Source organism: Homo sapiens, chromosome 4, assembly GCF_000001405.40.
Source record: "Homo sapiens chromosome 4, GRCh38.p14 Primary Assembly".
NCBI lineage: Eukaryota > Metazoa > Chordata > Mammalia > Primates > Hominidae > Homo > Homo sapiens.
The window spans coordinates 67632751-67647623 of record NC_000004.12 but is presented as its reverse complement, the minus strand read 5'-3'; the positions used below and the strand labels follow the sequence as shown (position 1 = coordinate 67647623).

Sequence of the window (14873 nt, the reverse complement as noted above, 5' to 3'; positions counted from 1 at the left end):
ATTATCTTTGGTATTTTTAAAAATGCTGAAATTTTGGTTTCCTAGATTATTTTCCTATAGTGTGTGAAATTATAGATGACATACACATACACATAGTATGTATAATTATAGATTATATATCCAAGCTGAAAAATAAATACAGAGTAGGTACTTTCTTCTCAAAAAGTAATCAAATTATGACTGGGCGCAGTGGCTCATGCCTGTAATACCAGCACTTTGGGAGGCCGAGGTGGGCAGATCACCTGAGGTCGGGAGTTCAAGACCAGCCTAGCCAACATGGTGAAACCCCATGTCTACTAAAAATACAAAAAAATTAGCCAGGCATGGTGGCACGCACTTATAGTCCTGGCTACTCAGGAGGCTGAATCACTTGAACTCAGGAGGCAGAGATCACACCACTGTACTCCAGCCTGGGCAACAGAAAGACTCTGTCTCAAAAAATCAAAAACAAAAAACAAAAAGTAATCAAGTTGCTTATTCAAATGTAGCTGAAATTGAATGGGGGCTTCTAAAGCTTTTGTGTAGTTATGAAAAATAGATTTGGAGGTGAAATTTCCTTTGGTTTAAAATTAGGATACATCATGTTTGTGATGGCTAAGTGACATGAATCAAATTATATCTGTCAACAGTTCCTTCAGGCTTTACCATTATTTTAATGAGAGATATAGAAATGTATATTATATATTTTTAATTATATTTTTAAATATTTTACTCTGAATTGCCTTATTTTATCATTTTTTTCTTCATGACTATTAAATAACTATAAAGGAGCTTCTTTTTATAGTAATTTGTTTTATACATAATAATTGTGTTTTTAATCTTCTACTTTAAGTTATATCTTGAAGCAGCAGATATTGTTGAATCACTAGGCAAACCTGAATGTGAAGAATTTCTCCCACGGTAATAATGAAATTTCTCTTGCTTTTACTAACAGGCAAATAGATTTTAAAAGTTTTGTCTAAACATACCTTTGTTTTATGTGTCTTTTCTCCCAAATCACTTTTGTAGTTGTTTTTTCTCTACTTAGGAATCATTTTAAGTGTCATAATAATGTCATATCTCTTTACTACTTGATAAATAGTGAATGCAAAGTTTTAAATTGTATCCCATGAGAATGGTTAGCATTTAAAATACCATAATGACATTAGATGGAAAAAAACTGCTATCTGCAGTCTTTATTTATATAGGTAATTCTTCACCTTTTTGGGTCATAAATCTTTTTGAGAATGAAAAGTTTAGAATTATTCTCCCTAAAATACACATAACCCAAATTTCTGCCTTTGATTTAAGTGGGTTATCAGCTCCAAAGCCCATCCGTAGATTCCTCTAAGAACTTTCCTTAAAAATCTCTGGCTTAGGAAAATTTTTTTTCTAGATAAACCAAAGTCACCTTCACTTAAGTCATTTGTATTTAGACTATTAAGCCAAGTGGAAAAAGGAAAAATGGATTTCTTTATGGAGGCTTTTCTTTTTCAATTAAGATTGGTTAGGGGAAACTTTTAAAGAATATTTCCTTTTAAAGTACAACATTAAATTGGTATTAATGACAGTGAAACTAATTTTAATGTTTTTTATTTCTGCTTTTTGGTATATGTTATTTTTTTCAGAGGAGATAGATATGATGCCTTAAGAGCTTGCATTGGAGACACTTTGTGTCAGAAACTGCAAAATTTAAACATCTTCTTAGTAAGTATCAATAATCATGGGAATAGTATGTTCAAACTGCTATCGTATATCAACTTAATTCATTAAAACAAATTTGAGTCTAAGTGTGTAGAGTACAGGTGAGTAGTTGTAATAACTGAGACCTTGCAGCCTATAAAGCTGAAATTGTTTACTGTCTGACCCTTTACAGAAAAAGTTTTCCATCCTCTGGTCTAATTAATATCTTTAAAGTAAAAGTATGAGTATGATAATTTCAAAAATTAAATTCTAGAAATATGTTTGAAAATTGGTGGGTTTTTAATTTTTTTCTCACTAAATGAAGGAATATAGAAGTGTATTCTGTATTTCTTTTTTTTTTTTCTGAGACAAAGTCTCGCTCTGTCACTCAGGCTGGAATGCAGTGGCATGATCTCGGCTCACTGCAACCTCTGCCTCTGGTTCAAGTGATTCTCTTGCCTCAGCCTCCCGAGTAGCTGGGACTACAGGGGCGTGCCACCACGCCCAGGTAATTTTTGTATTTTCAATAGAGACGGAGTTTCACCATATTGGCTAGGCTGGTCTCGAAATCCTGACCTCATGATCCACTCTCCTCAGCTTCCCAAAGTGCTGGGATTACAGGTGTGAGCCACCTCACCCAGCCTATTCTGTATTTCTTAATTGTCTTAGTGCATTGGCAGGGAAATTTTCCCCAATAACATAAAACAACTCTCCCTGCCATTTATTGTTTTAATTATTAAAATTAGCCCTGAAAATTACTGCTTATTCTTATTAATCATCTTTAAAATAATGTTTTGAAAATCAACTGTTACTGAGCTTTTTACATGCATATGGAATCTAGTATTATCAATTTTAGATAATAGTAGAAGTCTTAGAATAGTTTTATTCAGTAAATGAGTTTTGAGAAATGTCCAAAAGGGAGGAATCTTTTTTTTAAATGTTGTATTAACATTATATTGTGTTTATTTCTATCTTACATAAGCAGTTCAATGTTTAAATTTTATTTGGAATTTTTAAATGTCTTCTGTTTAAAGAAATTGTACAATTATGCTTTTCCTTATTTGGTTTATACTTTTTTTTTTCGTTGAAACAGTGGTAAAATAAACCTGTTAAATATTTCAAAGTAAAATGATTCACAGATAGGTTATTTTAATCTGATATATACCATTTTTCTCCTCCATAGGTAGGGTGTGGAGCCATAGGCTGTGAAATGTTGAAAAATTTTGCTTTACTTGGTGTTGGCACAAGCAAAGAGAAAGGAATGGTAAGATATCAATTCTTGAGAGTTAAAAGTTTATATTTCTGTTGTTGCCCTTTTTCAGCTATATTTGACTGCATAAATCTGAAGTATCAGTTTTTTGAAAATAGAGCATTAAACTAAAAATTGGAAGATTGTCATGCCCTTCTGACCACTTTTCAAAACTTATGTTACCTTGTAGCAAATTACTTCTCTTCCCCTTGTAGCAAATTAATTCTTTTCTCAGTTTCCTTCTCTACTACTGTGAAACTGACATTTGTACTACCTATCTCATAACGTTATTGTGATGATCAAATGTGAAAGGGCTTTGCAAGCTATAAAATATGTTGTTATTTCTGTTAGATAGTGTTTATTGTTAAATGTTTAAGATAACTGAAGCTAACATTACAAAGTTGCAGAGGACTCAGATGTAGTTTCAATTAAAGAGTATTAAAAGTAGTGGGAAAAATATAAAGCTCAGTGTACAATTTAAATTCTTAAGACTCTAAATGTGAGTTAATTGCAAGCCATGTCATATATTTAAATAGAAATTTATTTCACTGGTGCTGTTTGCCTTTTAAGATAAACTGTCTTCCATTAGTGATTTCATAGATATATCAAGGTGACTAACAGAAGACTGATTAAATGGCTAAAATTTATATGATGGATCACCTTTTATAAAAGTTTATTAAACTTAGCTTATTATTCCAATTCAAAAGATCATACATTACTATCATAGTTAACAGGCAGATGTTCTATGTTTATATTAACATTTCCTAAATACTGCTTCACAAACCACTATTACTTGTGTTGATTTTAAAAAGAAGAAAGTCTTTGGTTACATCAGTTTAGGAATCACCTAAATGCTTTAACTCCTTGGAAATTCATGATGCACATTAGCATATAAAGGTCAGGAAAAGAACTGTAATGAAGAAACCTACTGACTTCAGATAACAAAACAAGATAAGTTAATGTGGACATGCTTCTATACTACTGGAAACACAGACTTACTGTATACATTTTTTTAAGTGTAATGTAGCCAAGCTGAAAAGAGAAATTCCCAGGTCCCAGGAACCAAGAGAGAAGAAAAAATCCTAAATTGAAAGCCATGGGTACTTACAAGTGTTTCTATCTTGAATGTTTGTCCAAAACTTTAAGTAAAAACAGAAGTCACTAATGAGAAATTGAAACTCAGAGCATGTACCACACCAGGGTAAGGGGTCCAAAATTATATCATATAAAACTTAAAGCAGAGAACGGAATATAACAAATTTAAGACCACTAAAACTTACAGCCTTTAAAGCAAATGTAAAACTGCATCATGATGATAATAACACACTCAGGACTATGCAGAAAAAGTCAGCCTTCATTAAAGACAATTCAGATTAAAAAATGACTATTCACTAGAAAGGGAACCACCACAAGAATCAGCCATGGCAAATAAAAGAATTAGTCTCCTAAGAATTATAGATGATAGAAGTGCTACCAATAATAGAATTTTTTTTAATTTTATTTTATTATTATTATACTTTAAGTTTTAGGGTACATGTGCACAATGTGCAGGTTAGTTACATATATATACTTGTGCCATGCTGGTGAATAATAGAATATTTTACAGAAAATAGAACAAACTTTAAAGTTAAAAATGATCAGAGATAAAGAGAGCTAGAAACGGGAAAAAAAGGCACTGAAATTTTTACATAAAGCCAAATAAGAATTTCTGTATAATCGCTAATATTAAAATTTAAATATAACTGAGGTGAGAATGGACAAATCGAAGATAAATATAAATACCCAGAATGTAGTGCAGAAAGATATCCTTTTTTAATGAAAGAAGTGCGTTTGCAAGGTCCAACATAGGTCTAGTAGAATTTCCAGAGATAAAGATAAGGGAGAAGAAGCAATATATTCCAAAGATAATGACAAAAGTTCCCAGAGTTAAAGAAAGACAAGTGTTTTCAAATTGGAAAGATAAACTAGTACCAAACAAATCAAAAGCAAAGATTAAAAAAAGAGATTGCATAATAGACTTTTCGTCAGCAATAAATAGAAGATAATGGAAGCATATCTTCATAGTGTAATGGAAAATTACTATTAACCTATACTCAGTTCAAGAGGGAGAGCAAAGTAAAGATAGCTGACAAATAAAATGATGAAAGATTACTACCACTTATTGGTTCTTACTGAAAGATGTTAGGTTGTGTGGGCAGTGTGTAAAGGGTATATAGAGGCATTTGTCAGCATTCTTTGATTTACATGAGTATTGATTTTTTAAAACCTTAGAGTGAGATGGTTAAAAGTTTTAAGTGTAACTGATCTCATGGAAAGCAGACTGGAGAGTTCCAAATTAAATGATTTAGATATTCTCGGTTTTCAGGAAGATAGAAATTTTAATAAATTTTAGATCTTAAGTCACATAAGCATGTTAAAATTTTGAGCATAACCACATAACATTAGGCACTTAGCTTCTAAACCAGTTTGGGGAGTTGGGGGCAGTAGGAATCAAGAAAACTTGGTCAGTCCAGTACAAGGCAAAAATACAGGGGAATGAAAAGCAGAATTGGAGGAGGTAGAAAGAAAAAGCCTTAATATCAGTGAACAATGAATTGATTAAGCTTTTTTGTTAAAAGATATTTTCTGTTTGATTTTTTTTCCATTAAAAGAGACACTCCCTAACATAATTACACAGAAATATTAAAAATATCAGGGAAATAACAACTAAAAGAAAATGAATGTGGAATATAGTCGGAGACATTCTACATCTAGGCAAATCTTGTTTAAAAATGCTAAAGTGGCAAATGCATTTTGAATACTCTTCAGATGATCTTGAGTTTACTTTCATCTTGCGTCCTTTAGAATGAGTCTGCAGACTTTTTCTTAAAGGACACGATTGCAAATATTTCAACTTTGCAGACCAAAGATCTCTGTCACAACTTATCAGTTCTGCCCCTAGGATCATGAAAACTGCGGTAGACAATTCTTAAATAGTATGACAGTGTTTCAATAAAACTTTAGTTACAAAAATAGGCAGCATGCCTAATTAGGGGGTTAGGAGTTCAAGACCAAAGTTTGTATGCCTCTGCTTTAGCCAGAGTTCCTTTCAAATTGATACATATAAGCATTCTTCCCAAATTAGTTGAGATTAAGAATAAATACCAGTTTAGAAAGAAGAGCTAGCTCCTCTGCAGGTAATCCATTTCATAGTTCTAAAAAGTTTTGTTTTGTTATGAATAATTAGAAAAAAGTTTTGAACAGGAATTGCAATTGGCCTCAGCTATTTTGTTTGATGTGCTCCTATGTAAAACATTAATTACAATTAAATAAAACATAAAAGAGTAGTATTGGTAACTATTTGGGAATGTTTGTATCATTATGACCTTTACCAACCAGACTAATTTAGAATAATTTGTCAGGACTTTTTTAGTCATACTGAGAAAAGAAAAATAGATTAAAAGGTATCCATTATGTAATTTCAGCCATATTTTCTTGATATTAGATTACAGTTACAGATCCTGACTTGATAGAGAAATCCAACTTAAATAGACAGTTCCTATTTCGTCCTCATCACATACAGGTATGTTGCTATTCTGTTTCAAATTTAAATCATGTATTATACAAAAAAGAGTTTCCTTTTAATAAATAGAAAATAGTGATTGAACAATCGTGTTATTTTATTAGAAACTTTCAAATTATCAATTAATGGAAATGACAAAAGGGAAAATATTAAATTATTTAATGCACAATATTGATTTTTGCATTGATTTTGGAATTGAAACCTGAGTTGTGAAACAGGCAGTATTTTTTTCATTTTGTAATCACCAGGGTATGTTGACATTCATTCAATTTTAGAAAGGAAGTATATAGAAATATGTTTCTAATTTGAGGTTTTGGTAGCAAATTTGGCAGTGTCTTTTTTTATCTTTGTCATAAATCAGATAAAAGTTTAGCACTTAGAATTTTTGTGCTCTTTTGATCGTTTGACCAACATCCGTTTTTATTGTAAAATAATGCTTGTTCTCAATTTTCTCCTTTTTTATATAAATCAAAATATTTAAGTCAGGCAAGAAAGCATTTTAAGTCAAGCAGATTTGCTTTTACTTTAGGAATGTTTAGCCAGACACAATAGCTCATGCCTATAATCCCAGCACTTTGGGAGGCCAACACAGGAGGATTGCTTGAGGTTAGGAGTTCCCGACCAGCCTGGGCAACCTAGGGAAAAACCAGTTCTACCCTAAAAAAAAGTTTTAAAAAAATTAAAACAAAAAGAAGTTTTTTCTTTATTGTTCAACAACTCATTGCAAGTCTTAGTAAACTAAGCTTAGTAATGTCATGAACAGAAAGTAACTAAAACAGATGTCATAGTTAATCTAATTGCCTTGCTTATCCAAATATAATAGACAAAGTAACAGGGTCCGTTGTGAACTAAAATATGTTGCAAAGTGTATTTGCTTAACTTGGTGCATTTTACTTAGAGAAGAACTATAAAGTCCTGTTCATTCTTATTTTACTGAGTTCTAACAAAGTTTTGATTTGTTTGTACACTTAGAACACTAATAAGTGAAATGTGTCAGCCTAAGAATGTGAGAAGAGACAGAAATACCGTTAAAACTAGATGTGTGAATTTAAACAGAATGGCCTAAAGATATTTAATGCCAAAGCAAATGCAGATGAACAGTGACAGCACCTGAAATAACAATCATGATTTAAAAATAGTCACTAAATCTTTTTAAGAAAAGAAAGAATAAATTATATTTAGAGTACAGTAGTACCCCTTACAGCAGTATCCAGTTTTGCTTGCCACAGTTTCAGTTAGCCATGGTCAACCAGGATCTGAAAATAGGTGAGTACAGTGTGGTACAATAAGATACTGTATTTTGAGAGGGAGAGACCATATTCATATGCCTTTTGTTAATGTATATTGTTATGATTGTATTGTTTTATTGTTATTAATCTCTTACTATGCATAATTTATAAATTAAACTTTATCATAGGTATGTGTGTATATGAAAATACATAGTATATATAGGGTTTGGTACTGTCTGTAGTTTTAGGCATTTTGGGGGGTTGTGGAAGGCAGATGAGGAACTACTGGACTGTTTTTTATAAAATGGAACACAAATAATTTCTGAAAATATTTCCATCCAGAAATAATAATTTTAAAATATGTTAGTACCAAAGTATTCAACTCGCATACCTCTAAGAACTTATCTTCTGCAGAGTTGATTTCCAATGTTTTACTGAATGTGTTCTCATTTTTTTCTAGGCACTTACCAAGTCAAACATCATTACTAGGGAAAAATTGTAATTGGATTTTTAACTTTTTTTAAGAACTGTAAAGTACTTAACTATAAGATAGAAGGTGTTTAGATTTTTATTAATAATTTGTAAATTATTTGGACTAATGTGCATTATTAATGTAGTGTGATTACAGTGAATGTAATTTCTACAAGCCAAAAATGAAAACTGGTCTCATTACTCTCATTATATATGTATGGACTATGACTGAACTTACACATTCTTATCACTCTGGAATATATAGAAAAATCATAGTCCTTTTTTTGTTGTTTAACATATTCCTTCTGCTTATATTATTTGTTTAGAAACCTAAAAGCTACACTGCTGCTGATGCTACTCTGAAAATAAATTCTCAAATAAAGATAGATGCACACCTGAACAAAGTATGTCCAACCACTGAGACCATTTACAATGATGAGTTCTATACTAAACAAGATGTAATTATTACAGCATTAGATAATGTGGAAGCCAGGAGATACGTAGACAGGTATGTTCTTGAAATTCATGTTCCTACAGAATTGTCTTTAGTTTTCACTTCTGTTTCCCACATTACTTATTGAAAAGTTACGGAATTATCTGATTATTCCTTATGTTCCTATTGTAGTACTCCTCAAACACAAACCCTTTGATGATTTCTCATTATACTTAGAATGAAATTCAAAATCTGTAACATAACCTAAATGTTTTTCATGGAGTACTTTTCACCTGTTCACCATGCCAGAGTAACATTTACCAGTCTTCCTTGGCTCCCCTTATTCTAGCTGTATGTGCCTTTCAGTTTTTTGGCTGTCTTTTGTTTTTTCTGAATTGTAAAGCTATTTTTAATACTTTGGGGTGAGTCCCACTGCAATAGAAAACATAGAAGGAGTAACTCCTTCACCCCCAGAAATGCCCCAGGAGAGAAAGGCTACCTGAGAAGGAAGCACAAAAAGGACCCACTGCAAACTCAGGGCAAAGGGAATGCCATCAGTCCTGGGTCCTGTGAGTACTAGAGGAGGAAACGTGAGCATGGTGGGACTGGCTTCAGGCACAGAGGCGAAGGGCACGGGGGTGGACACCAAACCACAAAGCTACTTAGGTTCTTCCTTCTCGTTTTCCCTTTTCTGCTTCAGCTGCATGGTCTTCAGGTCCCTCTGCTTGTGGGCAGCAGCAGAAAGTCTGTCTTCTTGGCACTTTCCCTTAACTGTTTGCATATTCTTCTGTTTTTTCATGTTCTTCTACCAGGCAAGCTCATGCTGGTTACCCGCAGCAGCTCTGACCTGCCACCCCTCCTTCTGTCTGTGCCTTTTCCTTACCAGGCCTTCAGCACTTTTTTACCTTAGAGACTTGCACACAGTATTCTTCAGCCTCAGGAAGTTCTGTTTTTCTTGCTTTAACATTCCTGATCTCTAATCTACCTATCTACTCTTCATCTAGTTTAGCTTTTTTTCTTCATCCTTTCAGTTTCAGCCTAAATTTCTTTTTATTTATTTATTTATTTATTTATTTATTTATATTGATCATTCTTGGGTGTTTCTCGCATAGGGGGATTTGGCAGGGTCATAGGACAATAGTGGAGGGAAGGTCAGCAGATAAACAAGTGAACAAAGGTCTCTGGTTTTCCTAGGCAGAGGACCCTGTGGCCTACCGCAGTGTTTGTGTCCCTGGGTACTTGAGATTAGGGAGTGGTGATGACTCTTGACGAGCATGCTGCCTTCAGGCATCTGTTTAACAAAGCACATCTTGCACCGCCCTTAATCCATTTAACCCTGAGTGGACACAGCACACGTTTCAGAGAGCACCGGGTTGGGGCTAAGGTCATAGATTAGATCAACAGCATCCCAAGGCAGAAGAATTTTTCTTAGTACAGAACAAAATGGAGTCTCGTATGTCTACTTCTTTCTACACAGACACAGCAACAATCTGATTTCTCTATCTTTTCCCCACATTTCCCCCTTTTCTATTCTACAAAACCGCCATCGTCATCATGGCCCGTTCTCAATGAGCTGTTGGGTACACCTCCCAGACGGGGTGGCAGCCGGGCAGAGGGGCTCCTCACTTCCCAGAAGGGGTGGCTGGGCAGAGGCGCCCCCACCTCCCGGACGGGGCAGCTGGCCAGGTGGGGGCTGGCCCCCACCTCCCTCCCGGACGGGGCGGCTGGCCGGGCAGGGGCTGCCCTCCACCTCCCTCCAGGGCTGGGCGGCTGGCCAGACGGGTGCTGCCCCCCACCTCCCTCCCGGACGGGGCGGCTGGCCGGGTGGGGGCTGCCCCCCCACCTCCCGGACGGGGCGGCTGCCGGGCGGAGACGCTCCTCACTTCCCAGACGGGGTGGCTGCTGGGCGGAGGGGCTCCTCACTTCTCAGACGGGGCGGCAGGGCAGAGACGCTCCTCACCTCCCAGACAGGGTCGCGGCCGGGCAGAGGCGCTCCTCACATCCCAGATGGGGCGGTGGGGCAGAGGCGCTCCCCACATCTCAGACAATGGGCTGCTGGGCAGAGACACTCCTCACTTCCTAGACGGGATGGCGGCCGGGAAGAGGCGCTCCTCACTTCCCAGACTGGGCAGCCGGGCAGAGGGGCTCCTCACATCCCAGACGATGGGCGGCCAGGCAGAGACGCTCCTCACTTCCCAGACGGGGTGGCGGCCGGGCAGAGGCTGCAATCTCGGCACTTTGGGAGGCCAAGGCAGGCGGCTGGGGGGTGGAGGTTGTAGCTAGCCGAGATCACGCCACTGCACTCCAGCCTGGGCAACATTGAGCACTGAATGAAGGAGACTCTGTCTGCAATCCCAGCACTTCGGGAGGCCGAGGCTGGCAGATCACTCACTGTTAGGAGCTGGAGACCAGCCCGGCCAACACTGCAAAACCCCGTCTCCACCAAAAAAATATGAAAACCAGTCAGGCGTGGCGGTGCGCGCCTGCAATCGCAGGCACTAGGCAGGCTGAGGCAGGAGAATCAGGCAGGGAGGTTGCAGTGAGCTGAGATGGCAGCAGTACAGTCCAGCTTCGGCTCGGCATCAGAGGGAGACCATGGAAAGAGAGGGAGAGGGAGACCGTGGGGAGCGGGAGCAGGAGAGGGAGAGGGACCTAAATTTCTTTATCAAAACAGACTTTCTTTTCCCCCAAATTCTAAATTAAATCCTCCTATGGTGATTTTCATAACACTATGTACTTTTTCCTTCATGGCACTCATTTTTACTGATATGCATATTTATTTAATGTTTGTGTCCTCACTAAATCATTCATCCAGGGACCATTTACTTTCCGTCATTGTATCCTCAGTGCCCAACATATGATGTCATTTAGTAAATATTCCTTAAATAAGTAGATGAATGAATGACTATAAATGTGTTCACCTTACATCTTTATATGACTCCTCAATGTTAGGGTGTAGAGCAGATATATTAACAGGGGAGAATTTATCAGTTGAAAAATGTGAAAAGTATGTAATCTTGGGCCAAAGAGGGGAAGAAAATAAAACTTTAAAAAATAAAAATTTGTAGAATATAGGTATTGTAAGTGTTGAGAAAGAAGATTAATATTATTTGGGATAAAGAAAATATTGAGAAGAGATAGTGTGGTAGAACTTGTAGTTAGAAAATAACCAAAGAAGAAATATAAAGCAAGGGAAAAGGAGTAATATTGTTAGGAATTAACCTAGAGATAAAGGTTAAGAAAGCCCCAGATTTAGGGTACTACTAGATGTATATGTATATTGCAGAATAGGGGAACAGGAATGATCCACTGTTTGATAGTAGTATATCTGTTTTCCTAAAATACTGCATTCAAGAAGTGATCAGTATGTGAAATGGTCAATAGAAAGTTGTAGGTTGTCCTTTGGTTACATTGTTATTGCTCACTTTTTTGTTTTTTACTTGCTGTCTTTTCAAATAGTCGTTGCTTAGCAAATCTAAGGCCTCTTTTAGATTCTGGAACAATGGGCACTAAGGGACACACTGAAGTTATTGTACCGCATTTGACTGAGTCTTACAATAGTCATGTAAGTGAATCAATATTTTGAAATAGATGTCTTTTTTATATCTTGTAATTTTTGTCTTAATCAACAATTTGATTTAGCTTTCCTAATCCTTCTGATTTTGCTCTGCCAATGATGTTCATACATATGTGCATGTACATTTTTTAAAATATAATTGAACTTTTTTTTAATTATCAGAATTTTGTGTCTGGTGTTTCTGGAGCATTATTCTTCTGTTTACTATTTATTTCTCAGAGCTGCTTAGTTTTCTAATACCCTTTGAGTTTAAGATTGTTTGATAAGAACAAACTATTAGATTGAGACTAGAACTGTCAACAAAGACATAAAATTTTATTCACTTGCTGAGACAAAGTGAGTCATTTTAGATTAGGTAAACCAATAAACCTAGGCAAAATGTACTCTATAATAGAATGTGGATTTCTTCAATGGTACTTTATCCACAAAAAACGACTTAGGTATTTACCATTTATTTAATACATGCTTTCTGCAAGAAACCTCAAGCATTGAGGACATATTTCTGCTCCCAGATGTTTTTCTCCATGGAAAAACTCATGCTTTTCTGAGCACTATACTGGGTATTCCTGAATTACTTTTCAAAGCGGGGCAGTGTTATAAAACTTTAAATGTCACCTTGATTCATGAGGAAAAAAATGATTTATAGATGATGGTGTGTCATGAGTACTACATGGTGCTTTAAATGAGTACACAAATAATAAATAAGATTCATGTTTGGCATTACATAGCTATTAACAAATAGGTTAAATGTCAAAAGAATTAACTTCTCTTATTGCCTAAGAGAGAGAAGATATAAAAATGTCTGGTTGGATTTTATTTATTTTTGGATTTTTAATAGGCTTAAAGCTCAAAACTAGATTAAATCAATAAAAATTGGTCATTGCTTCCCCTTAAGTACCTGTTGTCATATTTTATAAATTAGCGGGATCCCCCAGAAGAGGAAATACCATTTTGTACTCTAAAATCCTTTCCAGCTGCTATTGAACATACCATACAGTGGGCAAGAGATAAGGTAAAAGTTCCTTTTTAAATTTATTTTCTTTGAAGTGAGAAAGAAGATATTTCTGACTTTAAACAGACTTCTATTTGTAATTTTTTTTTTCTTTTCTCTGTTACAGTTTGAAAGTTCCTTTTCCCACAAACCTTCATTGTTTAACAAATTTTGGCAAACCTATTCATCTGCAGAAGAAGTCTTACAGGTAAAAATCAGTAAATTTTAATACAAACTTAACACTTTGTGTCAGTGTAATCTTATTTTCAAGTCATCTACAAGTGATTTATTTTACCTCCATAAAGAGTGATTGTATATAAAAAATGAAATGATACATAAGGAATCTTGAAATTAGGTCACAAATTATCATTTTGGTTGTTTGAACTACATGGAATTGTCGATATTTGAGCATGTTCGACTCACAAAACAGCAATTCGTATGGTGCGAGCTAATAAAGATATGATAATTATGATAGAAGGGCTACAAATAATAAAAGGGCTTTTATTAAGCCCTTTGGAAAGAAAAAATTGAGGTAAGTTCTAGTTAAAATTTCATGAGGGAACAATAATCTCCAAGACTTATTACTCTTATAGTGAAGGCAACTTTAAAGATGTTTTCTCACTTTCTTTTAATCTTTTGCTAACAAGGCCCACTTTTTAGTATCAAATATTCATAGCACTTATAGTGAGTACATATATTATAGTACTAATAACTTACAGCTAGGAAAATATGAGGATAACTTGTAAGATAAGAAATCAGAGTTAAAATTTTGTATGCTATCTCTTACCATTCCCCTTCTCAAACAGAAAAGAAAAGAAAGGTTAAAGAAGAAGGAAGGGAAAAGGAGCTTGAGGTGAAAAAAGAAAAGCATAAAACACATGAGTTGACACTTCAAACTTAGGCTAACTTTTGGTGAGGGATGTGTATATGTTTGTAATTGGAAGTATGTTGATTTTTTTTTTCTCTCCCATTCTAGAAGATACAGAGTGGACACAGTTTAGAAGGCTGTTTTCAAGTTATAAAGTTACTTAGCAGAAGACCTAGAAATTGGTCCCAGTGTGTAGAATTAGCAAGATTAAAGTTTGAAAAATATTTTAACCATAAGGTAAGTATGCATTGTGAGACATTAAGAAAAGGTCTGATCTTGGCTTATTTAGTTATTAACAAATTAATTTCATTGACCTGAAATGTGTATTCTTTCTTTTGGCAAGCTTTTCAGAAATTAGTAGTAAGTTAAATGAGAACACATGCTAATCTAAAAGAAGTTTGTTCAGAATAGAAGAAGCAAGAAACTGAGAAAATAGGGACATTTAGTCAGAAATTTTGCTGAGATTTTGCCATTTCCACCCATATCTGATAATCACATTTTATGTCTGTTTCCCCATCTGTAAAATAGAAATAATAAATTTGTACCTAATACATAAGGTAGTGGTAAAGATAAAAGGAGGTAACACAAAGCATTTAGAACAGAGCCTGGCACATAAAAAATTACTAAATATTAGCTGTTATTCTTACCTCCAGTTAAATATAGTTGCTGGAATGTGTGTTGCCTTCTCTTTAGTCTTTCCCTCTCTTTAGGATCTTAAGTTCATCTTCCTTAGAAACAACTTTAAAAAAAAACAAAAAAACAGGGTTTCCCTATGTTTTCCAGTCTGGCCTGGAACTCCTGGGCTCAAGTGATCCCTGCCTCAGCCCTTAA

At 35.2% G+C, this 14873-nt stretch overlaps 1 protein-coding gene and 1 pseudogene across 3 annotated transcripts in view, besides 1 other annotated feature; one reads left to right on the top strand and one right to left on the bottom strand.

Moving 5' to 3' along the window:
• UBA6 (ubiquitin like modifier activating enzyme 6) overlaps window positions 1-14873 on the top strand; it is an 88504-nt gene that overhangs the window by 53532 nt on the left and 20099 nt on the right. For all 3 annotated transcript variants that reach the window (NM_018227.6, XM_017008359.3, XM_047415893.1), the window contains exons 15-23: window positions 833-900; window positions 1608-1686; window positions 2846-2926; window positions 6396-6473; window positions 8500-8681; window positions 12066-12171; window positions 13106-13195; window positions 13302-13382; window positions 14151-14279. In NM_018227.6, the coding sequence (NP_060697.4) occupies window positions 833-900; window positions 1608-1686; window positions 2846-2926; window positions 6396-6473; window positions 8500-8681; window positions 12066-12171; window positions 13106-13195; window positions 13302-13382; window positions 14151-14279 (894 nt within the window). The remainder of the gene's footprint in view (window positions 1-832; window positions 901-1607; window positions 1687-2845; window positions 2927-6395; window positions 6474-8499; window positions 8682-12065; window positions 12172-13105; window positions 13196-13301; window positions 13383-14150; window positions 14280-14873) is intronic.
• Window positions 9200-9249: a silencer, noted in NCBI's record as "silent region_15463". NCBI's record gives its function as "represses an Ori minimal core promoter by ATAC-STARR-seq in GM12878 lymphoblastoid cells {active_cell/tissue: GM12878}" and the evidence as "EXISTENCE:reporter gene assay evidence [ECO:0000049][PMID:35858748]".
• LOC107986207 (small EDRK-rich factor 2-like) lies at window positions 9265-9606 on the bottom strand (annotated as a pseudogene).